The sequence below is a fragment of the Homo sapiens genome, chromosome 12 (genome assembly GCF_000001405.40).
Source record: "Homo sapiens chromosome 12, GRCh38.p14 Primary Assembly".
Lineage (NCBI taxonomy): Eukaryota > Metazoa > Chordata > Mammalia > Primates > Hominidae > Homo > Homo sapiens.
The window spans coordinates 80612930-80638486 of NC_000012.12; the positions used below are offsets into that span (position 1 = coordinate 80612930).

A 25557-nucleotide genomic window follows, 5' to 3' on the forward strand; every position below is an offset into this window, starting at 1 on the left:
AAACTATACAGAGGAAGAGTTATTAGTGTTGTGAAGAAGCATATACTGCAAATAAAAGAGGATACTAGGAGAGAGTTTCTTTAGGGTGATGTAATAGTTTTATATCTTGTTTACGGTGGTGGTTAAAGGAATCTATACAGAAGACAAAATTGCATAAAAGTATAACAAAACATGGAAAGGGGTGAAATTGGGATAAAGTCTGTAGCATTAACAGTATTGTACCAATATCAGTTTCCTGGTTTCATATAAACTCCAGTTACATAAGATATTACCAATGGGGAAAACTGGGAGAAAGTTAAATGGTATGTCCTGTTTTTGCCACTTCTTTTGACTCTAAATTGTCATGCCATTGCACTCCAGTCAGGGTGACAAAGGGAGACCCTGTCTCGAAAACAAACAAAAGATTAAAATGTCATAGAAACACATTCTGTGTAAAAATAAGTGCATATAAAACAAACAAACTGGATCACCATTATGGTTGCTGTGAATTACAGATGTCAATGATTCTATAATGCGTCAGTCATTTTGCTAGTTTTTGCAGTTTATATGGTTTAATTTGTGGAATACTCTTTAAAAACAGAAGTTCAAAGCAAATAAATTTATGTGGAGATAAAAAGGAATACAATATTTTTAAAAATTAATTGTTAAATATTTTATTTTAGCCCCAAAGGACCCACCTAACAACATGACATTTCAGAAGATACCAGATGAAGTTACAAAATTTCAATTAACGTTCCTTCCTCCTTCTCAACCTAATGGAAATATCCAAGTATATCAAGCTCTGGTTTACCGAGAAGATGATCCTACTGCTGTCCAGATTCACAACCTCAGTATTATACAGAAAACCAACACATTCGTCATTGCAATGCTAGAAGGACTAAAAGGTGGACATACATACAATATCAGTGTAAGAATCCGTAGCTTCAGTTAATTACCCAAATGACAATGTCAGTTTATGAACTTGGCATTTAAAAATATTGCAGTTTGTGTACACATGACATTTCCCATATCTTTTTGTGAGATTGTTTGACATCTCAACAAAAATAAATTTTGAGAACTGAAATTACCTATTTTCTGCTATAATACAAGTACTATTAAATTAAAATATGTAAATAACCAAGAAGTTTGCACAATAATAGTAGAAACTCAGACATAAAAGAGAAAGAAAATGCACATTAAAAGTAAAAGAACAGTGATATATAAAGAGATAACTCTGCCTAAAAAAAAGCTATATGATTATGAATTTAAAATGGAAAAGCAAATTTTAAGGACAAAAGACAGAAATAATTGTTTACCTGTTTAAAATTCTCATGCATTTTAACCAAGTATTACTAAAAGCTAATAGCATTTTATGTCTTAATTCTAAATTCCCTATATTTGGACAGAAATGTATGCATGAGTTCATATACATACACAGAGACATATACAGACACAATTTGTTTTATTCCTTGCCTACTTTTAGATCATCTTGAAATTTTCAAATAAAATTATATGGTTCAGAGAAATCATCTTCTAAGAAACAGAATTTACTCTAAATCTTCAAGTAGTTTAGTAATCTGCCTACCAACTCTTGATTAATATCAATGTAATTATCAGGTCATTGATAATAATTTGTATATGTATATGTGTATAAAATGAATATATTTACTACTTCTCTCAGTCACTTTGACTTTATATCTTTATAAAATAAATCTTTTGGGGATTCTTTTTGCATGTCCCATTAAGTGGACCACCATTGTGAAAGATCGATTAGAGGGAAGACGGTGACTAAGAGAATAAAGTAACCTGGGTTCAAATACTGGCGTCTGTGCCAGGGCAGCTTTATCAAATCTGAGCCCAGTTTTCTTATGTGAAAAATTGGTAATAGGAATAATAACTTCTTTATAGGATATTTGTGAGGATTAAATATTCATAGTTATGGTAGGTAGTGAATGGTACATATATTTTGGCTATTGGAAGAGAGAAAATAGGAACCAAAAATGTGCAACTAATTAATAATTTTTAAAAATCCTGTTTGCAGACTGCAATTTGCAGTATCCTTAAAACCTTGAAGTTTGTTAGGATGTATAACTTTAGCACCTGTATTGACCTACTGAATCAAAATCTGCATATTTGCATTTAACAAGGTGTGCGAATGACTTCTTTGCACACTGCAATTTCAGAGGCAGTGCCCAAATTTTCACTTATTATTTCACTTAAATGTTAGATTCTACCATAAAGAAATAAAAATAATGGACCATACTATAACATACGTTTTTTATTTTTAATACTTTTTTTTTGAATTTACAAACTCAAATATTTTCTCTAGGCATTTTCAAGCCACATTTTATGGTCTTGGTTTATTTATCATATCTACCACATGTATATTGTAATATTAACTCAATAAAAACATTTTAAAAGTATCTAGAGTGTGGGAGGGTGGGCCACTAATATATAAAACAAATTAAGTAATTCCAATAAACATTTCGTATACTGAATTGGGTTTATCGAGTACAATGAAATAAGCCAAGAATATAGTCTCTGTTTAATATAGCAAGATAAAGTGAAGAAAAGAAGATTCTCTGTCTACAGCTTCCTTAGCACAAAGTTAATTGAAAGGATTCACGTTTGTGTAAATCACCCTCTGTGTATACAAACAGAAATGTTTTATGTGTATATGCTGCATTATGCAGGTTATAGCGTCAGATACTTTGGGGCAGGGGTGAAGAAGGGCATAAAGGCCATCTTTCAGGGGAATGATTTAATACAGGAAAACTGGGAGGCTGAAGGAATAGGATTTCATCTTAGAGAGGGAAAAAAAGAGGATCTTGAATATGGATTTACAGAAGGCCAGAGTTACCTAGCTACAGAGAGAAGGAACAGATGTTAGAGTAGATGAAGGGAGAGCGTAGATACAGTGGCTGTAGTGCTCTGTTCTTCCTACATTCACATTAAAATCATGGTCAGTCCAGGTCTCAGTGATAGGGCTGTTTAGATCACTCAGCCTTTGTTCTCAGCGTTTAGTACCAGAACATCAATTTTTAGAAATACTTCATTGTTAATGTTCTTCCTACATATATTATATTCAAGTGCAAGAAAATACAATTAATAGACTATATGCAGTTGTTTTTTAAAGAATTATTTAAAATTACATGTAACCATAATCAGTTTTATATATATATATATAACTATATATATACATACATATATAGATACATGCATATATATATATATACACACACATACATAAGCAATCACTTGAAAATAGTAACAAATATTTGTTTGTTTTAGGTTTACGCAGTCAATAGTGCTGGTGCAGGTCCAAAGGTTCCGATGAGAATAACCATGGATATCAAAGGTACATACATGAGCTACCTTCCTATGAAATGCTATTAATCAGTGATTATAATTTAAATTCCATACTTGAAATAAGGATGTAGACAAGCCTTTAAGTGATAAATATGCATATATTAAGCACATACTAAGTAAAAATGTGTGGTTATTAAAGCTATAGTTAAAAACGTTTAAATGATGATGTGAATTACCATGTTAAATAAGGAGAATGTCTTTATTTTATATTTCTTTAATATATTTTATATTTCTAAGTTTAAATTTTTAAAGACAAATTTTATAGTCCGTTATTTGATGTTTCTTTAAATGTTATCGAAAAGAAAGTGTGTTTAAATTGCCTATCATTAGACTTTGACTAGGTCTAATTAGATTATTAGATTGTTTGACTGATTTTTATTTTGGAAGTGAGATTCTTTCAGTTAATTAAATAGTGTTTTTTGAACTACCATGTAGGTTGGTTTATGATTCTGACAGTAAAGTAAATCTATCAATTCATGATTCTGGCAAGTATTTTTTATAGAAAATATAACTAAAATTTGGGTCATCCTTTCAAAATAAAACAAACAAACAAACCATGAAACCCAAAAAAGATGATTAAGAGGAATTTAGGGCCATTCGAATGATCACGGTGCCCTCTCTTCTTGAGAGTGAAAACCAGCAGGTAATAATTATGCCATCTCTCTAAAAATGTGTAATAAAACCTTCAGAGAGGTTTTAAAAACAGAAGTGGATGGACTTTTAGTAGAATTCTACCTGATATGTCTCTTTCTAAAGCAAAAAGTAACTTTTTTCAGTCTTTGGCAAATACAGCAGAGCACAGTGATTAAAGGTGACAGCATTAGGCTGGGTTTAGGGTCAAACTGCTGGATTGAATCATGGATTAGCCACTTGATATCTATTTGACTTTGAGAAAGTTTCTTAACCTCTATAGGCCTGAAAAATGGAGATAATACTGGTTCCTATCTCAAAGTTACTAACTTTGAGGATTAAAAGAGAATCTGAAAAAACCCTTAAGACCCCTGCCTGGAAACATGTACTATTAAGAATAAAAAATATTCACTGTTAGATGAAACTGATAAATTTTATCTTTTTGTCAATGGATTATTTATATAATTGTGATACTCTTTATAAGTGTTTGATTTAAATTGATAAATTATTTACTTTGGGAAGTACAAATGCATAAGGTCTTTAAAAACATCAATTATTTCACAAAATGACTTCACAAAGAATAGTATGAGTCATACCTTTTAAATTTATCTTTGTTATTCAGTGGCAGACGTGTAGGTGTACAGATAGCAATACATGCATCACTTTTATGCTTTAGTAAAACTTCCCATTTCAGATGCTATTCCCATCCCCATGCCAGGTTGGTTAATCTTGACTTTTACTCCTTACCTAAGGCAGGCAGACTTACGACTTCTAGTCTAGAGAAGATATATGAACAATGTCTTAGTGGTGGGATCCTAGAGAAATTATGTTTTCTCTACTAATACACATTATTTTATTAATGATGTGGAATATTCAATTGGTAGTAGTCTCATGAAATTTGCATTTGACAGATATTATGAAGTTGGATAGTAATGTCCAATGCTGGATTCCTCTAACTGGAAATCTTTTCCTGGGGACTCCCAAGTGGCCTGGCTGAGAATCTCAGAACTACCTGAAACCTGAGCCTCTTCCTACTGAATCCTGCCTTTCATCTTCCCTTTTACAGGTGTCATACCTGTGATCTGTGGCACTTACTCCTTCCCTCTGTCCCTTAATTCTTCACAGATAATTCCCCCAAAAAACCTCTTACACATCCAGTCTCATTTTAGCCTTTATTTCTCTTAGTACCCAAACTGATACATTGAGTAAGAAATTTGCATTTGAATCTGATGCTCAAAAAAGAGTGAACTACAGAACCGAGTCAAAAAAATGTGATTCAAATGTTGATAGTTATCTTTGATAACTGTATGACATAAGCTCTTTTCCCTATCTACAAAATAAAAACAATGTTGATAATCCTGTGGGATTATTGAGAAGCTTTTTAAAAAAGATTCTTAAAAATATGGAAATTGAAATTTGGTTAAGTAACTTACTGATGCTCAAGCACTACATTCACACACACACACACACACACACACACACACACACACACACACAGTGAGCTATAAGACCAAATGAAACAAGCAGAGCTTCTATACATATATTTTGGAGATATTTGTATGCATTGATGACAAATTATGAATTATCATGGCTCTTCTAGAAGTTATTCTGTTAATCTGTTAAGGTTAAAAGTACATATATCTTTTGTTCTAGAAATTCTGCTCTTAGGAATCTATTTCATAGAGACAAAAAGATCAGTAAATAAAGCTCATTGTAAAACAAAGCTAATTATTGTAAAACATGTTTAAAAACTGGAGGAAAAGTGAATTCCCATCACCAGATGAACGGTTGAATAAATATGATGCAGCTGCACCATGATATATAATATAGTCATTAAGAAGAATGAGTTAGCTCTGTACCTGGTCACTTGGAAACATTTAACCAAGTTATATTTAAGCAAAAAAAGCAATATGAGGGGTAATTATAATACATACTAGAGCCCCATTAGAAAAAGCAAACAGTGAGAAGAGTGTGTTGTGCATGACTATTTATGTATTTTTATATGATTATGTGAACATGGAAAAAAATATGGGATGCTATCATCTAGATGTTTAGCATGGATTAACTGTGGGAGGGGTGCTAGTATGACTAGAACAGAAATTAGTAAACCAGCTAAAAGAAGCAAAAGAAACTACACTAAAATTATAGTAAAAAGTAAATATGTTTATGCATTTATAAAAAATATATATGAGTGAGAGCATGTATAAATTGAATTTTTAATATGCAAAGAGGAGTCAGGTGCCTGAAAATCACACCTGGGCTCTATTATCTCAGGGAAGTCTCAAATGTATAATTATGCTTTCAGGAGATAATAATTGCTAAATGTCTGCTGTCTCCAAGCACAATTCTCTATAATTTGTTATTTATGTTTGTCATCACTTTATCTGTAAATTAACTGCATGAAAGGAGAAAGATTTTTTCTTTTGTTGATGAAACAATAACATCAATTGCAGTGATATTTCTTCTTTGTTTATAGCTCCAGCACGACCAAAAACCAAACCAACCCCTATTTATGATGCCACAGGAAAACTGCTTGTGACTTCAACAACAATTACAATCAGAATGCCAATATGTTACTACAGTGATGATCATGGACCAATAAAAAATGTACAAGTGCTTGTGACAGAAACAGGAGGTATCATCACATGTCAATTTATCTTGTTAAATTGTGGAGTGTAGATTACTGAGTGCTAAAAAGAATTTAGTTCAAATTAAGATTGACTCCCAGTTATCACACACCTCTTGAGATTAATAGATTGTCAATATTATTATTAATGATACCAATCATTTCTTTGTAAATAAATAAATTATTTATTTATTTTATTTGTAAAACTTTTATAAATGTCATTTATTTATACCAATTATTTATTCTTTTTTACCTATCAAGAAAGGCACAGTTAAAATATGTGATTTATTAATTCCATATACTAGTAGATAAACATGTTTTGATTTTGGTAAGATGGAATCTTGATAGCTTCTTTGGAGGGGTGAACAAGTGAGTTACTCTTGATTGAGGGATGCTCTTTCTCTACCTGATAAATCATCCTTTATAACAGTTCCTGTAGATTCACATGTAACAGAGAAGAACAGGGTTACCTGCCTATACAGGTGGATCACTTGAATTATCTCTGGTGACTGATGTTGCATCGAGAGTCCCCTTATACAATTATAAAAACACTATTTATAATTGTAAAAATATATTCATATGTTACTTGGAATTATTGTTCTCTTTGTTTCTGAAAACAGCTCAGCATGATGGAAATGTAACAAAGTGGTATGATGCATATTTTAATAAAGCAAGGCCATATTTTACAAATGAAGGCTTTCCTAACCCTCCATGTACAGAAGGAAAGACAAAGTTTAGTGGCAATGAAGAAATCTACATCATAGGTGCTGATAATGCATGCATGATTCCTGGCAATGAAGACAAAATTTGCAATGGACCACTGAAACCAAAAAAGCAATACTTGTAAGTATAGGTTATATCTACCATGCATTCTGTTAGCAAGCTAGTTAGTATCTTTCATCCATCCATCTGCCTGTCCTTTCATCTTTCCAATAAGCACTGGATGTCCGCCACGTATAGTGACCTGATTTTTCTGGCACTAGGAATAGAAAGATAAACTGAAAATTATTCTTACATTCCATAAACATACAGTATTATAGGGGAAGCAGGCAACCCTAAGAGTAATTATGATTTGATATAAGTTACATAAAGACCATATGAAAAATGTGCTATTGGAGAACATAGGTATATAGGAGAATTTAATTCTTTCTGTAGAGGACAATGTGACTAATGTGTTTTTCACTTATTATTTTACCATCCATGCTGATGTACAGGATTTTTGAAACACTATCCTATCCTTTGATTTAACAGTGGCTTCCCTTTATGTCACTCATAACAATAACTCTCTGCTTTTTATCTCATGAATGAGTGATAGAAATATTTAATACCACCTTTAATATTTAGCTTTTTGTAGCCCCTAAAAACCCAACATTTTAAAATCAATTTGATATTTTGGCTGTATTAAATTATTTGCTAAATTGATTATCTTCCTTTTGAATTGATTATGTTATTTTTGTATTGTAAGACTACAATTTTTAAAAGAATCATCTTATCCTTGTGTGATTTTCAAAATATAATTTTTACTAGTAATTTTTTAAATGCAGGTGCTTTCATTTGTGCCTGTTAGTTAAAACATTATCAAATTCTTTACAAATATCCTAAGCCAAGTTAACATTGGAAAAATTAGAGAAATTAGGCAAATAAAAATAATGCTTTATCATCTCTATTAAATGCAATTACTTTGGTTCAAATTCTAGGTTATTGCCTGAATAGCTATACACATATGATAGTTATAAAAATGATATACTACCAAGTATCATGTTTATTCATATTTATAGTTTATTTATTTTGCATATTTGTTCCTGAAACAGACTCTTCATATAACAAATAAAATCATAAGAATTTTATAATGGTAGAGGTTCAATCATGTATTGCAACGTATTGGTTTTATGTTTTTAAATGCCCTTGTGCCTTTATTTTTAAATTAAGTAAATTTCAATTGTCTCTGAGGATCTTAGATTCTTTTTGTAATTTTTAAGCTTGATCTTCTTCTGTATCCTTTACTTCAAATGCTATGGAAGCAAAAAAGTATACAAATGCAACTGTGCACACACAGAAATAACAAACATTTTCTTAATGTGTTTATATGTGAACAAGACAAGTTCTATATCATCATTTTAATCTAATTCACTAGCATTTGCAAAAGTGATTGAGGTATAACAGTTATGCCTTTTATTTATAAATTATGTTAGTGTAACACCCTTCACAGATATCAAATCATTCCATCTAAACAAATCCTTGAAGGAGGTGAGCTGATTCAGTTGTTCAAACTGCTAACTGCTCACGAGTTTACCAAATTTTTAGCCCCTGCCTCATCAAATTCAATGGGTCAAAGTACGAGATAATTATTTGTCTCATATAAATATAGCATATATTTCTCCTGATGATGATTCCATTCCAAATTTTCATCTTGTAAATTCATTTTCTTTTGAATTAAATAAATAGTTTTTATAATTACTTCTTGAGTTATTCATAGGAAAAATCACATGATATGCAAAGTGTTGATTTTTCTTTTTTTATTTTATAGATTTAAATTTAGAGCTACAAATATTATGGGACAATTTACTGACTCTGATTATTCTGACCCTGTTAAGACTTTAGGTAAGACATTTTTGTAATTCATTTATAATCTCAACATATTTATCAAAGTTGGAACATTTATTAGTAAATGTATTAATCCATGTCTAGATGTTTTAAAATATAAACTCATTTAAATGTTAATTAGCCTCTCTAGTAATATTTGTGGGTTTTTAAAATTTTTTCTTTTAGGTTTAGGAGTACCTGTGAAGGTTTGTTACACAAACATCTGTCATCTCATCTTAACTATCCTTTAAGTTAGGTCAGTGCTTCTCAGAGGGATTTTATACCCCAGGGGATATTTGGCAAAGTCTGGAGCCATTTTTGGCTGCCATAACAGGATGGTAGTGGTGGTGGTGCATGCTACTGGCATCTAGTGGGCAAAGATTAGGAATGCTGCTAAATTTCCACAATGCACAAAACAGCCCGTAATGTCAGTGGTCCTGAGGATGAGAAACTCTGACTTAAGCCCTAATGTTGACTCCATTTTACAGATGAGGAAACCAACACCCAGATTCTTTCAGTATTTAAGTGGCTAGGCCAGGATTCCAACATTACAGAACAGGATTTCATAACATTACATTACAAATATGGGATTTAGACCTGGGTTCAAATCTTGGCTCTGTCACTTGAGAAAATAATTTAATTTCTATAAATCTGAGTTTCCTTTGTTGGGAAAATATTGATAAGAGTATCATCCTTGAGGGGTTGTTGAAGTTTTGTGTAAAACAACATATATAAATATATTAATATTTTATAGTTAGTAAATTTTTAAAGTTTAATAGCTTTTTTGGATAGGTTATAATAAAATATTTTAGAAACATTTTTATTTAGGAGAAATTATTTCTCTAGAATTTCACTGAGAGGATCACAACATTCTACATTGTTTGTGCCAGGCCCTCAAAAGCCCCAGTTTATTCGTCTTAAAGAATTGCATGAACAGGGTATTTCTGGGGCACCACTTGAAAATGTAAGACTTCATGTGTTGCCCAGATCCTGGCGAGCTGTTGCTCAGTGTATCTTGAACTGCTAATAGACTTCAGTGAGAGTTATGACTGGAGAAAGACGGATTGTCCCACCATTTTTAGCCAGAAATTCTCATTGGGTTATGGAAATACTAATTGTATAAAAAGCCAGCCTCCACAGCCTCTACATGTAGTCAAGGAAACTTTGCATCTTGAAGAAATAGAGGGGGCATGTAGTTTGCTACATAGATGTTTGTAGAGAAATAACAAATTTCTTTGGCTAAAATGTTTGTTTAATTTTATACAAATCATTGGTTTGATTAATTTTACCCAATAATTTCATCATTTTAAAGCTAGCTGATTAGTTTTGTGGTTTTGAAATTGTATCAAGTGTTTCTTCATTTGATAGGTGAGTCTATCACACTCTGATGCCACCACAGTAAAATAAATGTCTTCTTGTCATCAGCATAATTTCCTATAGGTTACAGCATTCATAAGCCATTACTTCAGCTAAGTAGTGATCCTGGTGCATTTGCCAATGGAAGGTAAAAGACCTAGACAAGATAGATAACCCATGTGTCTTAGGAGATAATATTTTATAGGAGCAGTGCTGAAAGGAGCTAGCCTTGCTGTATTGTATGATGTTGTCTTTCATCAACTTACTGGTTTCATACAGATTATTCATGGGAAGGCAACATGTTCCGTCAGTTATCTGAGAGGCAAAGTTGAGACATTCAGGGTAATGGAAATGAGAAAGAAAAGCTATAAAAGGGGGGGAGCGCCAAGCATCAGGAACCACAGTGCACAGGAGCATGATTCCTTAGATTCTGCTAAATGGCTTCTCTCTGCCCAATGATGGCCTCATCCAGCACTATAAGTAATCTCAAAGAGCTCCTCAGCAATGGTCTTCTCTTTCTTCTTTCCACTCACAGTCAAGGTGGTGGAATACAACCATTAATCCTGGAATGTAGCAGAAATACACAGTCAGGTTTTTGATTCCTTCTTTGGAAGTATAACCACTGCCACCCCAATCATCTAGGTATGAATCTTTGTGTGCTCTGGAAACAGAAGGAGTCTACAGTGAGTAAAAGATGTGTAATGAAGGACAGAGCACAGGATCCTGCCAAGACTAAGGAAGGAGGGACTGGTGAAATGTAGACTGGACACAATATATAGAAAGGCACTGGGCTGCTGAGGGATAGTGACAAGGAAGGGTCCTATGTGTCTATGATCAAATTACTCAGAGTTCAGTGTATTTTTTGTAGACCAGTGACATGATGACAGTCTTTTAGGTTGCTCCTTAGAGTGATCTTCCAGGGACTCTCTCCTGAGATACAGCAGCTTTGTTAATTGGCCTTTGCCCTACAGTGCTTATTCTGGATTGACCACATGGAGTTCTGCTATTTAGATAGTCATTTATAGCGAGTAAGACAGTGACAAGTGGAATCAAAGGAACTTGCTTGGTTTGTAATCGTTAGTTGTAGTGAAATGAGAATGCACCCCTGGAGCAGAATTCCTCAATGACTAGCAAAGCAGCCCAGCCATTTCTCTGGTTAATGGATTTAACACCATCAATTACTGTTGTCATATTTGCTTTCTACCAGACTATTGAGTGTCGTGGTTCTATGGAGATTAGAGTCACTTTCATAGGTCAAGAAACAAACAACATCCCCTAGAAGTGGTCCTGGTCCATTTGACATTGATAGAACGCTGTAGATCAGGGGTGTCCAATCTATTGGCTTTTCTAGGCCACATTGGAATAAGAAGAATTGTCTTGGACTACATATAAAATACATCAACACTAACAATAGCCGATGAACCAAAAAAAATTGTAAAACCATATCCTAATGTTTTAAGAAAGTTTACAAATTTCTGTTGGCCCACGTCCAAAGTTGTCCTGGGCCACATGCAGCCCATGAGCTGCGAGTTGGACAAGCTCGCCACAGATTCAAAAGAGTTCTTAGTAAAAGAACATTGCCAGGGAAGAAACTCTAGAAGAACTCAAAAAGAAAACAAAGTTGATCAATTCTCCAATGGTTAGTGGCAAGAATGGTTTCATGGTTGTGAGAATGAAGGCAGGCAAATAATAAAGTGCATTCATATAATACCCCTGGTGTCATCAGAAGATGACAAAGGGTGATTGAGTCCTTTTTTTCTCTCAAATATGTCATGTGTTGGGATATATGAATCATTTGCAGCAGGCTAGGGACTCAAACATTCCTGGTAAGCTGCTGAAGACATATGTGTGCATGTAATCCCAGACTACAGAGAGAAGTCTAGGTCCCATCAAGGTCATCCACCCACCAGGGGATAAGCATTCATTCACTGGTATTTTGCACACCACAGGCAATGAGCACTAAGCCGAGTTGCCTGTCTGTTGAAACTTTGGGATTTAAGAGCTTTTGCACGACTCTGTTTCCACAGACCATTGTAGTGGTAATTATGCCTCTCAGAGACGTTATTATTTGGAGTTTAAAATTAGGGGCAAAAGAATCACCATAGACTGATAATCTTAAAAATGTTTAAGTTTAGTGAAAGGGACTAATGAAAGTACAAGTGAGAGATGGCCAGGTAGAACTTCACTGGATGGATAAGTATGAGTCTGTGGAAGAGCAGTTTGCATTTAGGGAAACCTTTCTGGCCTGTAGGGATAAACAGGGAAGATAACGTATGCATTATTTTAATCCTAAATAAATACTTGAAACTTATTTGATTTCGTTTTTACTCAAGATTGAGTATTGGCATTTTTATTATCAAAATTCACAAAAAACCCTCTTAAACTTTTTGAAAAAATCTTCCCTAGGCACATCAGTTTATGGAAAGTGCTTGTAGGCAATGTTTTGATTACAAGGTTTAATTATAGAGGGATCCTGTGATTTGAAAACCAGACACCCGTTTCTGTACCTTACAGGGCTCTCATTAAAGCTGAACATGATGAAATCTTAAACCCCATGGCAAAGGCACTCTGTGATTGTTTTCTTTTGTCATAACACTTCTCATTTAATTACTATGCTAACAATGAAAAGTTCCAATGTGCTCACTTAGATTCAGAAATAGGGAGTTGCTATGTATCTTTTGCATCCAAAGGATTACTTCCCTAAAGTCACCAGAGGAACAGAGGAAGATTGTATTTTGTTAACGAGACAGTGGTAATGTGGTGGTGAACCTCACATACTCTGTAGTCAAGACAGACGTATTTCAGGCAGGCTTGGTATATATTGAATTTATGAGATTGTGGGTTAGTTACTTAAAAAATTATTTTTAAGTTCTGAAATCTTATTTCTAAAATGAGAATACTAATACTCATTTTAGAAGCTAACTAGGAGATTAAATCAGATGAATAAAATGGATGAATAAATATGAAATGTTTGTTAATAAAGATACCTGTCATTGTTTATGTACCAAGTCTTTAAGGGGTTTTACATATAAACTCATGCATCTTCACTGCAACTCTGTAACAACACCTCCTATTTACATAGCGCCAATTTCTAGGTAAGAAGTTTGAAGCATTGTGTTTTTTACTAACTTGACCAAGCTTTTTAACCATCCCAAAGGTGGTGGCAGAACCTGCTTTCAGACCCAGGCAGCGTGACCTCAGTCAGTGCTGTACTTGTAACCACTGCACACACTACCTGCAAATCACTAAGTCCCCAAGTAGCCCCCAGTTCATTACTATGGGTGATGTTTCTGCTCCCACAACCTATCTTTGCTGTACCATTTTCTCTTCTTGATAGTTTTAATTATTTCTAGCAGCTCTCTTTTCTCACACTTTGTCTTGGCTTTTGAGGTTAGTGTTCACAGATAAGCATGTGTTGCTTTTGTGTTTAGAGATATGGTTTCTTTTTATTTTTTTAACACCGAATAATGTGACTTTTCTCACACCCTAGCAAACACTTTATTAGCTACCTTTAAATTTTTTCCTGTCTGTATGGATGAAAATGATGTTCATCCCAATGGGGTGTTTTAATCTATATGTTTAAAATTTTATTGAATATTGACAAATTATACACGTATATATTTATGGGGAACAGAGTGATGCCATGATATATGTATACCATGTGCAATTATTGAATCAAGTTAATTAACAAATCCATCACCTCAAGCACTTATCATTTATTCCTCCTATCTAACTCTATTTCTTGACTTATGGAATTGAGTAACTTTTAGTAAATTATTTGCTCAGTGTTTGAATACCCTAGGTGACTAGCACTGGGCCAAAAGAGAAGATGAACTCCCTATACTTTAGTCCTGTTATAAGAACTCAATTTTTATAATAATAATAATAATAATAATAATAATAATAATAAAGAAGGAGGAAGAGGAGGAGGAGGAGGAAGGGGAGGAGGAGAAGAAGGAGAGGGAGAAATAAGGAGGAAAAGACTTTCCATTTTATATGCATCTTTATCAGGAGCCAGGCATTGTACTATGAGCTTTATATCTAATTGAATTCAAGTTTCTCCTTAGAGAATAGGCTTAAAAACAGACTTAAAAAGTTGGATACATATGCTGAATTTAAATAATGATAACTTCAGTCAGAAGATAATACTTATGAAAAATTAGTGCTTTAGAATTATGATTTGCCAAATTATAGTAGTACAATTTATTATGTAAACAGACCAATTTAATGTGATTTGTCACAGGATTTTAAGTCTAGTCAGAAATGACTTGCACCTACTACAAAAAGAAACATGTTTATATTTTTAAGTAAAAGAATTCCATTTTCTATTAAAGGATTTGGAGAAGTGACATCATTCTCTACTGTTAATGCTCTGTGGGTCCATGCATAACAGTGAATCAGAAAGTGTACTTGATAATCAGGGAACATTTTGTCCTCTCTTAGTGACACTTTTGTAATTCATGTGCCCAAAGGATTACATATTGTTTATTAATATATTATATGTCATTTCCTCATTTGGCCAGTGCTTTGAAATGGTAATCTAATCTAAAAAAAATTTTTTGTGTGGTCTATGAGAACATTTTTTTCCCACTGAGTTCTAAGGCCCAGTGATTCATTATTACCTAATAAAGAGGATTCTTTATTCATCTTCATGCCTCCTTTCCCAAGCATATCCAATTAGAGTCACCATGTGAAAATTCATAAATCAAACCGTTCGTATTTTAATGTATAAAAAAATGTACCTAAAATACTTTAGGTGATACATGCTGCTTTCTCATTTTTTAAATTTAGCAGGAGATTCTAGCAGACCATGAAGTGCTGATAACTGTTTTAAATTCAGTATTTATTCAAATCCACCATGCAGGATAGCCACAGGAACTCTTTTATATTGGTAACATTACATAAGTACCAATACAGGACAAAAAGATGAAGCATTAATACGTGCCTATTTTACACATTGGTAACCTATTTTGTCACTTGACTGTAATACTTTGTGCAGTAAAATTATAAATTATGTAACTTAAAATTGATTACAATTATAATTAGTAGTTGTGCTTAATAATTTTTATATTCTTATTTGGTTCAATGCCTGATCTTCAAACACGAACATTTTTAATCTTTTTCAAAATCAATATATTTGTTCATTAGTAAATTTAGCAAATATTTATTTAATATTTACTCTGTGCCCAGTACATCTCTCAGACCGTGGAATAGTTTTGTATAAAACAAAAACCCCTGTACTCAAGGGGGCTTACATTCTGGAGGAAAGGACAGAGAATAAATAGTAAGAATAATAAATAAGTGATTTATATGTTAAAATAAGATAAAGTTATGGAGGAAAAAAGTAGAACAGAGGGAAGAAGGAGGGGGAGGAGGAGGCAGAAAATGCAGGGAGTTGTGTCTTTCAATTTTAAATAGTGTGCTGTGTTAGTCTGCTCAGGCTGCCATCACAAAATATCATAGATGGGGTGTGTTAAACAATAGAAGTTTATTTCCTCACAGTCCAGAAGGCTAGAAATCTAGGATCAAGTTTCCTGCCCATTTGGTATCAGGTGAGGGCTCTCTTTCTGGCTTACAGATGGTTGCCTTCTTGCAGTGTTCTTACATGGCCTTTCCTTGGTGCATGGATGGAGATAGAGAAAATATGGTGGGGGGAGGAGGAGGAGAAAGGAGTGAGTGGCACACACACACACACACACACAGAGAGAGAGAAAGAGAGAGAGAGAGATGGAGAACAAGCTCTCTGTGTCTCTTCTTATAAGTCACTAATCCCATCAGATCGGGGCCTCACCCTATGGCCTCATTTAACTGTAATTCCTTTCTTACTCCAAATACAGCCACACTGGGGATTAGGGCTTCAACATATTAATTTGGGGGAAACACATGTATTCAGCCCATAATATATGATCATTGAGAAGGTATTTCAGCAAACCTTTAAAGGAAGTGAAGTGGCTACCCAGAAAGATATACAAGGCATACACACCTTTGCAGGCAGAGGAAGAAGCTGCTGCAAAAGCCATGTGTCAACAATGGCCTTGTGTTATTCATCAATAAGGAGGCTAATCTGGCTCCCTAGGAGTGAGCAAGCAAGGTGGGGACTGGAAGGGAAATCAGAGGGGTAACAGGGGACCAGACAGTTAATGAGGGACCAGATCACACATGCCACTGGAAGGATATGGGCTTTTCTCAGTGGGAGATGAGGAGGATTTTAAGCAGAGAAATAATGTTTTAAAACGATTGTCCTTGCTTGTATGTTGAAAATAGGTGGAACAAGGACAAAGGTGGATACAGGCAGACTTGCTAAGTTTTTAATTCATGCAAGACAGGATGGTGGCCTAGATCAGATTATCAGCAGCAAAGGTGGAGCAAAGTGAATGGAACATACATAAAACTAGAAAAAATGGTGTCATGAACCCCCAAATACCTACTAACTCAATTTAATAATAATTAACATTTGGCCACATTTGTTTTATTTAGACATTGTTCACTTATTTCTGAAGTAAAGTAAGTCACATAACGCATATTCCACTCCTAAATACTTTAGTATGTTTCTCTAATAAGTACATTTTTATTATATTGCTGTGATTAAACTTAACAATAAATTATTGATATTATTTAAGCTACTTGTATATACGTTTTCAAATCAGTCTTTGATTTTTTTCTTTAAAGTTAATTTATTTGAATCAGGATCCAAATAGGAATTTACACATTATCTTTGATTGTTCTGTTTCTTCTATTATTTTTTTAAAGAGCCTTCTTTTCTCCTTTCCTTCCCCCCTATGTCATAGACTCCCTGAAGCAATCAGATAGGTTGTCACGTAGGAAGTCCCATATTTTGGATCTGTCTGGTGGTTTTCTCTTGATGTCCTTTAATTTTTTTTCTTTCCACCACTTTCTTATAAATTAGAAATAAGATCTAAAGCTTTGAGTATTCGCAGTCAACATTTTTGTCAGAAGTACTTTATAGGTCTTGCTCACTAGATCAAAATACCTTCCATCAGGAAGTGTAGAATATCTGATTGTTACACGTGATGCTAAAATTGATCAGTAGGCTTGGTGGCAGCAACAGCATGATCCTTCATTGGAAAGTTGGTTTTGACCACTTATAACAAGCGTATAATCTATACAGCGATATTTTGTCATCCTGTAAATGTCCAATTCCCCATTAACTTTCCTCCTAATCATTTTAGAATACATTTATGTTTGTTACCTGAATCAACTATTTCGTTAGAAATACTGATTATTAATTTTTTTTTATTTTGAGCTGGTGTTTTGCTCTTGTTACCCAGGCTGGAGTGCAGTGGCACGATGTCGGCTCACTGCAACCTCCACCTTCCGATTTCAAGCTATTCTCCTGCCTCAGCCTACCGAGTAGCTGGGATTACAGGCGCCTGCCACCACGCCCAGCTAATTTTTGTATTTTTAGTAGAGACGGGGTTTCACCATGTTGGCCAGGTTGTCTCGAACTCCTAACCTTGGGATCTGCCTGCCTCGGCTTCCCAAAGTGCTGGGATTATAGGCATGAGCCACCGTGCCCAGCCCTGTTTATTAATTTCTAATTTTGTCACTCCTTTAACATTTATGCAGCAAAATTATCTTCTAATAATGAGCTTTATCTCCTTAACTAGGGCTATTTTTAAAAAGTCATAAAATGTAGTTCAGATAAGAAACCCAGAAAAGTATACATTTCAATTATAAATTAATTAAGAATATTTAGGCCAAGGAGATGGTCTAGTTATAGCCAGAGTTTACAAATTAGTACTTTTTTTAAACTATTGGGTACTGGGCTTGATACCTGGTTGATGAAATCATCTGTGCAAAAAGCTCCTGTGACACAAGTTTATCTTATATAACAAACATTCACATGTGGCCTCCGAATTGAAGATAAAAGTTTAAAAAAAAATCAGTATTTTTGTTATTTGTATTTCTTTTATTAAATAATCTTATTTTTTATTTCTGATCAATTTCCATTTTTATTAAATATAAGGCTTGAATTCTTCCCTCTTTGGCCAGTAGGAGCCCCTTCAGGAGGATCATTTGTTCCTTTTATACCAGTAGCCTTTTGTTAGCTTCCTAGATCTCTAGCACCATTATATGTCTTGAATTTGTTTAGTTCCTTCCTCCCACTTTGCAATTACCATCTTTCCAAAGTTACATAGTTTCTTTGGTGAAAATTACAAATATGTTGAAGATAGAGCCTACAGGATTTCCTCACATGTTTTGGATGTATTCTATGAAAGAGAGTCAAAGATGACTCCAGGGTTTTGGCCTTAGCAACTACAGTAATGGAGTGTCCATCAACTGAGAGGTGGGAGGATACAGTTGAAAGGAGGGAAGTGTACATGTTCAGTTTTGGACATATCAATTTAACATTTTAAGTATACTTCAAAATAAAGACGTCTGGTAGGCAGTTAGATATATAAGTCTGAAGTCTGGTGGATAAAAACTAAGTAGTCATCATCATATAGATGAAATTAAAACTGTGAGGCTAGATGGGCTCACACTGGGAGTGAGTTTAGATAGAAAAAGCAAGAAGACCCGGGACTGAGCCCCAAAGTTAAAAAATCTAGGAGAAGAGGAACAAACAAGCTGCTACATTTTACTAGTATTCTTCAGCAAAGAATATTTTCTTATGCCAAGATAATATTTTTTGGTAGTTTGGGATTCAAAATAAGATTCCATAATAATATTTAATGATCCTGTTATCCCTCTTCTCCAGGGGAAGGACTTTCAGAAAGAACCGTAGAGATCATTCTTTCCGTCACTTTGTGTATCCTTTCAATAATTCTCCTTGGAACAGCTATTTTTGCATTTGCAAGGTAAGATTTATTTGCGCTTACATTCCAGGATGCTTTATGGGCATTATATCAGTCATAGTCCAATCAGGAGACAGAAGCCACAACAGTTACTTGAATGGGAAACATTTTTATTTTTAATAGACAGATAAAAATGTATTTATCATGTACAATATGATACTTTAAAGTGTATATGCGTTGTGTAGTGACTAAATCTAGCCATAAAAGGAAAGAAATCCTGCCATTTGAACAGAAAACATTTAATGTAAAGAATTGTTAACTAGCAGAAATGGCTAACTACTAAAGAGAGTAAAAGAGAAATCTAAGAGTCCAGAAGTAGCAAGCAAAACAAAGCAGCTACTCTCTTTAACTTGAAGGAGAGAGGACAGTAAACAACTAAGAACTGAAAGAAGTTGTCTCCCAAGACTTACATGGAATCGCTACTTCTAGCACATGCAACCTATCACCAAACAGTGAGCAAAGAAATATGACAGAGGGAAGGGGTTGGAGCTGTTCCGTAGAAGCTACCCGTCATTATTAGATGGTAGGCAGGCTGAAATTGGTAATAGAAGCATCCCATTCTTGCTGAATGGTGTAGGTGAGCTGGTACTACTTGAGACTGTTCACGAATGGCATGGGCAGAACGTTCACTTCAGAGGCAACAAGAGCTCATCCAAGTGAGCTGCTGGGCTCTCACAATGAATAACAATAATGCAGGATTGGATCCCACAAGGGCAGTGTTTTCCTCTTCCTACTGCCTCTCAGGGTCACTCTAGTGCCCTCTATTGACAAAGCCTCACTTTCGGCCGGCTGGCAAAGGAGAAATGCAGGTTCCAGCTCCAATATCAAAGAGCACAGCAAAAAAAAGGAGGTTTGGAGATGAGAGACAACAAGGTGAAAACACAAAAGCAGAAGCTTTCAGGCCACCTACATCTTTTAAAGTAATTTGTAACTCTTATAGGTTTAATTTAAAATATCTCAATCAGGTCTAAATATTAAAGTTTATACAGAAAGAGATCTTTTTTATAGTTAGAACAACACTTGTAAAATATCCAGCTTCCTTATATGGTAGACCCCCTTCTCATGCTTACTTTCTGAACATGTCTGTGCTGAATTTTCCAAGTGTATCTTTCCATTCTCAGCATCAGCATCCTACTTCCCTTATTATTTACAGGGCCTCGTTGGAAATCTTACTTCTGACCTCAAAATCTAGCTTCTTAAGGCAGATTGCCGAGTTAAAGGGACCTTACATTTGTAAAGTAAACTTTCTACCAATTTCCTAAATAGTTCAATAGACTATTTTTATTTCAACTGAAGAATGTAGTTCTGTATTCTAAATGCCATGCATTATGGTTCATCTTGACTCTCTTAAAGCATAATTTTAATAGATAATTTGAAAGGCTCTTGAAAAAGATATTTTCTCTATACCACATAACTATTTGCAGATTTAGCCAGAAGACAGTGAGAGAGTTATCATTCGAGGCACTTTGAATGCTATAATGTGTAAAATATGGGCCTTTCCCTAAGGAGTATGGACTGGCCACATTTATGTAATTTCCCTGCTCTAAAATCTTTTCTGACTTCTCATTTCTCTACAAGATGAACTCCTTGTGTGAGTAGGAAATGGTCCTCCTTATTCCCCACAACTTGCCTACTCACTAGCTAAAGAGATCTATTCTCACCTGAACATTCCTTGGGCTTTTATACATTCTGCTTTTGTTCAGTCACCCTGAAATGTGCTTCCTCCTCCTTCTCATCCTGGGACATCCAAGTCAAATTCTACTTCTTTACCTCCTCTAAATAATAATAACTATTTATGTAACTAATCAGGCACTGTCTTATGTGTTGTAATTTGAATCTTTTTTTCTCTTTTCATGTTTTTTCTGCATTGAAATCTTGCCTCTCAACTAAATTGTAATGTCTTTGAGGGTAGGGAACATGTTTTATACTTTCCATATCATCCTTGATGTCCAACTCTTAATAAATACTAAATATTTGAAATGTGAAAGATAGAATAGCTAAACATTACTTTGTAATATACCATACTGTGTCATGGAGAAATAAGCATTTAAAGGGTTTAAGATGAAAAGAATCTGATTTGATTCTCAGATTCATGTGGCTTTTATTTTTGAACCTAAGTTTTCTGATTGTAAAGATAATATCTACTCACAATATTTTTATAAAAATTCAATAAGATAATTTGAAAATAATTTTTAAGTATTTTCATGCATGTAAAAATATTTCATATATGTGAACACAATGGGGCATTATCTGTTAGCAATACTATTGATAGCATTGAACTATTTTCACTTTGGCATAGTTCCTTTATATGACAAATCAATGACATAGCTAGAGAGAAGAGAAACAAGATCACAACGTAAGTCTTCTTGGCTCTATATTTAAATGTACCAATGGCTCAGGCCTTCGTCAACTAATTCTTCTTAAATTTAGAACTTCATCCCAATAACTTATTAGAAAAAAAAGAAAGTAGAATAGGTTCTATGGAATTAAAACAAGAAAAAGAAGTCGAGTAGCTATAAATTTGCAACATATTCAGAGAGGTGATTTTAACAAGGAAATTATTTGACTAAATGTCTTTACTTAAAAAGAAAACTAAACCTAATTTTATATACTTTGTGTGAAACTCCCTTCTTGGACTTTACTCCGCTTGTTTTAGAATTCGACAGAAGCAGAAAGAAGGTGGCACATACTCTCCTCAGGATGCAGAAATTATTGACACTAAATTGAAGCTGGATCAGCTCATCACAGTGGCAGACCTGGAACTGAAGGACGAGAGATTAACGCGGTGAGCACACTCCTCTGGGTGAACTGTGGTCCAGAGGGCCTGGAGCCATGACCCTATTCTGACCTATGCTTGTTGGAAGTGTTTGTGGGGCTCTAATTTACACAGGTCACAGAGATCTTCTTTCAAAGAGTGACCTCCGTCTTCTACACACTTCTCACTGCTGTTCAGAGAATCACTTAATCTTCCTAATATTTTGAGTTAAATATGAACTTTGGACTATAATGTTCAATCAGGATTATTTTCCTGGGACAAATATTTTTCCACATTAAACCTTTGACATTATGTTTAATAATTCATTTCATATGATAGATTTTTACATTAAACTTTTCTGGAAGTGTCCACATTTTCAATCACAGGTTTAAATTAATTAAATTTATAACTACTTGATATTATTTATATCCATTTTTATAAAAGCTTTTTAATAACTATTTCAGTATAAAAGTACATAAAAGTCTAAGTTGTATATGATATCATTTTTACATTTCTTTGTATTTAAAAATTAAATATAAAGTAAAAAGTTACCTTCAGAGGGAAAAGTAAAAACATGTGTACTAAATATGTTTCATTGGTACCTATTGGAAATAGTAAAGTACATAATTTTAAAGAAAAAATAATTATAAATCCTTTTAAAAGCATTATCAATTATTCAAAATGTTGGCACATTATAAAAACTTGTCTATTAAGATAATTCATCAAATTCTTAATGAAAACTACCATCAGGCTATTTTAACGTTTGCATTTTTATAAGATTCAATAACATGTAATGCTTATAAGCACAAAGTAGTTGTTACCAAGTATTTGCTCAGCTCTGTTAAAATTAAAAAAATTATTATTAATTTTGAAAATATGGCATCAAATGTCTTGGACTCAAAAAGTTATTCATTTGTAGTTGTCACTTGTTAAAGTTGGTCTTTATCTAATAGATGGACTTTGCAAGTATATTTCCAGCATATCTAAAAATACCTAATATGTGCTATAGAGGGAAGTGTCATCTGATAAGCAAAGTCCTTCCAAATGCTACAAAATGAAGGTTATTCAATGTTATCACTAAATTGCAGGGAAATGTGTTTTCTTGGATATGACAGCTGACTTTTTAAACATTCAGATGTTGATCTTTGTGTTCTAATACAGTGGTCCTATCCACAAATGGATAGTACTCCAAAGATTTAAGTGTCAGATGATTGTAAGTTATCCAAGACATAGTTTTCTATATAAGAAATATTATGTACAAAATATCAAATATGTAAAAAGAATCAATAAAAGATTCCCAGGGTAACTCATCTAAGTAAAACCATATCATAGGAACACAAGCACTGCTACTACTAGACTGTGTCTCAGCCCTTAAGGAATCATTCTGCATCATCAAAGAAAGTTTTTCCTCCTTTTCCCCTATGGGCCAAATGAATTTTAGTGGTATCCTCCTAGCCTCCTTCCTGCACTCCATCGTCAGTTCCTTTTGCCCCTCCTCAGGCCTGTGTGGCCCATCCCTTTATTCTACAACTGAAAATGCACAAGGGAAAAAATTCAAATCTCTCAATGCAATTAATTTTAGCTATTTGAACAATATAGTTGAATCTGTTCATACTAAAATGTAAACTTCTAAGACCGACCCCCTCCCCAACACTGGTAGGCATTTTCATTTTGTTAAAAGAATACTTAGTAGCCCGTGAAAAATCCTGAATAAGTATATCTTCAGCAAATGTAATAACGTGAAAAAGCACTCTTTTTGTTTATTATGTCATGTTTTTAAACAGTCAATATTGGAGAAAGTATTATTTATCGAAGAGGTTACATTCGAGGCAGACTGTGGTGAGATTCAATCCCCTAAGCACTATATATTTTCACAGCTTGCCCCTTTCTCTACTTCTGAACACTAAATACATCATCATAAAAAAATTAGAAAAGGTCGGGTGTGGTGACTCATGCCTGTAATCCCAGCACTTTGGGAGGCTGTGGAGGGTGAATAACCTGAGGTCAGGAGTTTGAAACCAGCCTGGCTAGCATGGTGAAACCCCATCTCTATTAAAAATATAAAATTAGCCCAGCATGGTGGCATGTGCCTGTAGTCCCAGCTACTCCAGCCTGGGTGACAGAGCGAGACTCCATGTCAAACAAAAAGAGTAGATTTTTTTTTTTTAAGAATGACTGTCATGGCAGCTACAGAAAAGTTTCAGATCATGAAAAAGGTGGGCAAGGAATGTACAGATTGTTTACTATTGGTTATTTATAATTCAGGGTCTACTTTATTTGACCTTCACTCTTCATTATTTATTTTTCCACTTCTGTGTTTATTTACATATTGCATTATTTGTAAAAGGGTTTAAAAGTGAAATAATATTTCAGATAATTTTTATTTTGTTACACACAGAGAATTAGTATATATTACCCATGATAATAGCAAAATTGGAAATATTAGTTTCCATGCTTTTCACTTTTTCACTTGTTTGTTGTGATTCTGGTATTCACAATTGTTTGTAATTCCAATGGCACATAATAACATGCTTTGCTGGACTTATTACAGAAATGCATTAAAATAACAATTAAGTGATTTGGGCATTAATTCTTCAGTACAGAGATCTGTGTCCAGCTTTACTATTTATGCAATATTTTTATGTTAATAAAGTCACTAAAACATTAGACAATAAGACTGGAAAAAATAACAAATATAATTAGCTGCATGTACATATGAGTGGATCCTGTCATTTGGTGAAGCTCTAAAACTCTTCATCTGTTTTGAGGTGTTTGAAGATCTAAATCCGTTCAAAGTCAATCAGAGACTGATGGTAGATTCTAGGAGTGAGAATCAAGAAGTCTGATTTAGCTCCCTAAATTGTTGGCAGACTTCCACCATATGTCTTTGTTATCTGCAGGAAAGAACTTCCATAATTTCTCTTAAATCTACCCAGCTAATAGGCTGGGCATAGTGGCTCATGCCTGTAATCTCAGCACTTTGGGAGGCCTAGGTGGGTGGATCACCTGAGGTCAGGATTTTGAGACCAGCCGGCCCAACATGGTGAAACCCCATCTCTACTAAAAATACAAAAATTAGCCAGGCATGGTGGCGCATGCCTGTAATCCCAGCTACTCAGGAGGCTGAGGCAGGAGAATCACTTGAACCCAGGAGGCTGAAAGTGGCAGTGAGCCAAGATCACACCATTGCACTCCAGCCTGGGCAACAAGAGTGAAACTCCGTTAAAAAAAAAAAAAAAAAATCTACCCAGCTAACATACGCTCTCTCTACTTGATTCTTAGGCATGTCCTTTTTATTCCAACCTGCTAAATTTTTCATGCAAAATTGAGCTCATAACTTTTCTGAGTCCTGTATGTTTTCCCATGTCCAAAAGATAAATGATAAAAGAAGAATCTCTAATCAATAATTAAAATATTAATTTTAGGAAGTTACCAACTAGGCA

General features: G+C 34.1%; 1 protein-coding gene and 1 long non-coding RNA gene across 2 annotated transcripts in view, besides 1 other annotated feature; one reads left to right on the top strand and one right to left on the bottom strand.

The window, feature by feature from the left end:
- PTPRQ (protein tyrosine phosphatase receptor type Q) overlaps nt 1–25557 on the top strand; it is a 236039-nt gene that overhangs the window by 168695 nt on the left and 41787 nt on the right. The window contains exons 29-35 of the mRNA NM_001145026.2: nt 663–907; nt 3271–3337; nt 6455–6613; nt 7225–7447; nt 9132–9205; nt 19263–19362; nt 22016–22144. Coding sequence (NP_001138498.1) covers nt 663–907; nt 3271–3337; nt 6455–6613; nt 7225–7447; nt 9132–9205; nt 19263–19362; nt 22016–22144 — 997 coding nt within the window. The remainder of the gene's footprint in view (nt 1–662; nt 908–3270; nt 3338–6454; nt 6614–7224; nt 7448–9131; nt 9206–19262; nt 19363–22015; nt 22145–25557) is intronic.
- Nucleotides 1–25557, bottom strand: part of LOC105369867 (uncharacterized) — a 176665-nt gene that overhangs the window by 82356 nt on the left and 68752 nt on the right. The gene's annotated exons all lie outside the window — the stretch shown is intronic.
- Nucleotides 19750–20312: an enhancer, noted in NCBI's record as "OCT4-NANOG hESC enhancer chr12:81026458-81027020 (GRCh37/hg19 assembly coordinates)". NCBI's record gives its function as "activates a minimal SCP1, AML or CMV promoter by ChIP-STARR-seq in naive H9 embryonic stem cells {active_cell/tissue: H9 hESC(naive)}" and the evidence as "EXISTENCE:reporter gene assay evidence [ECO:0000049][PMID:30033119]".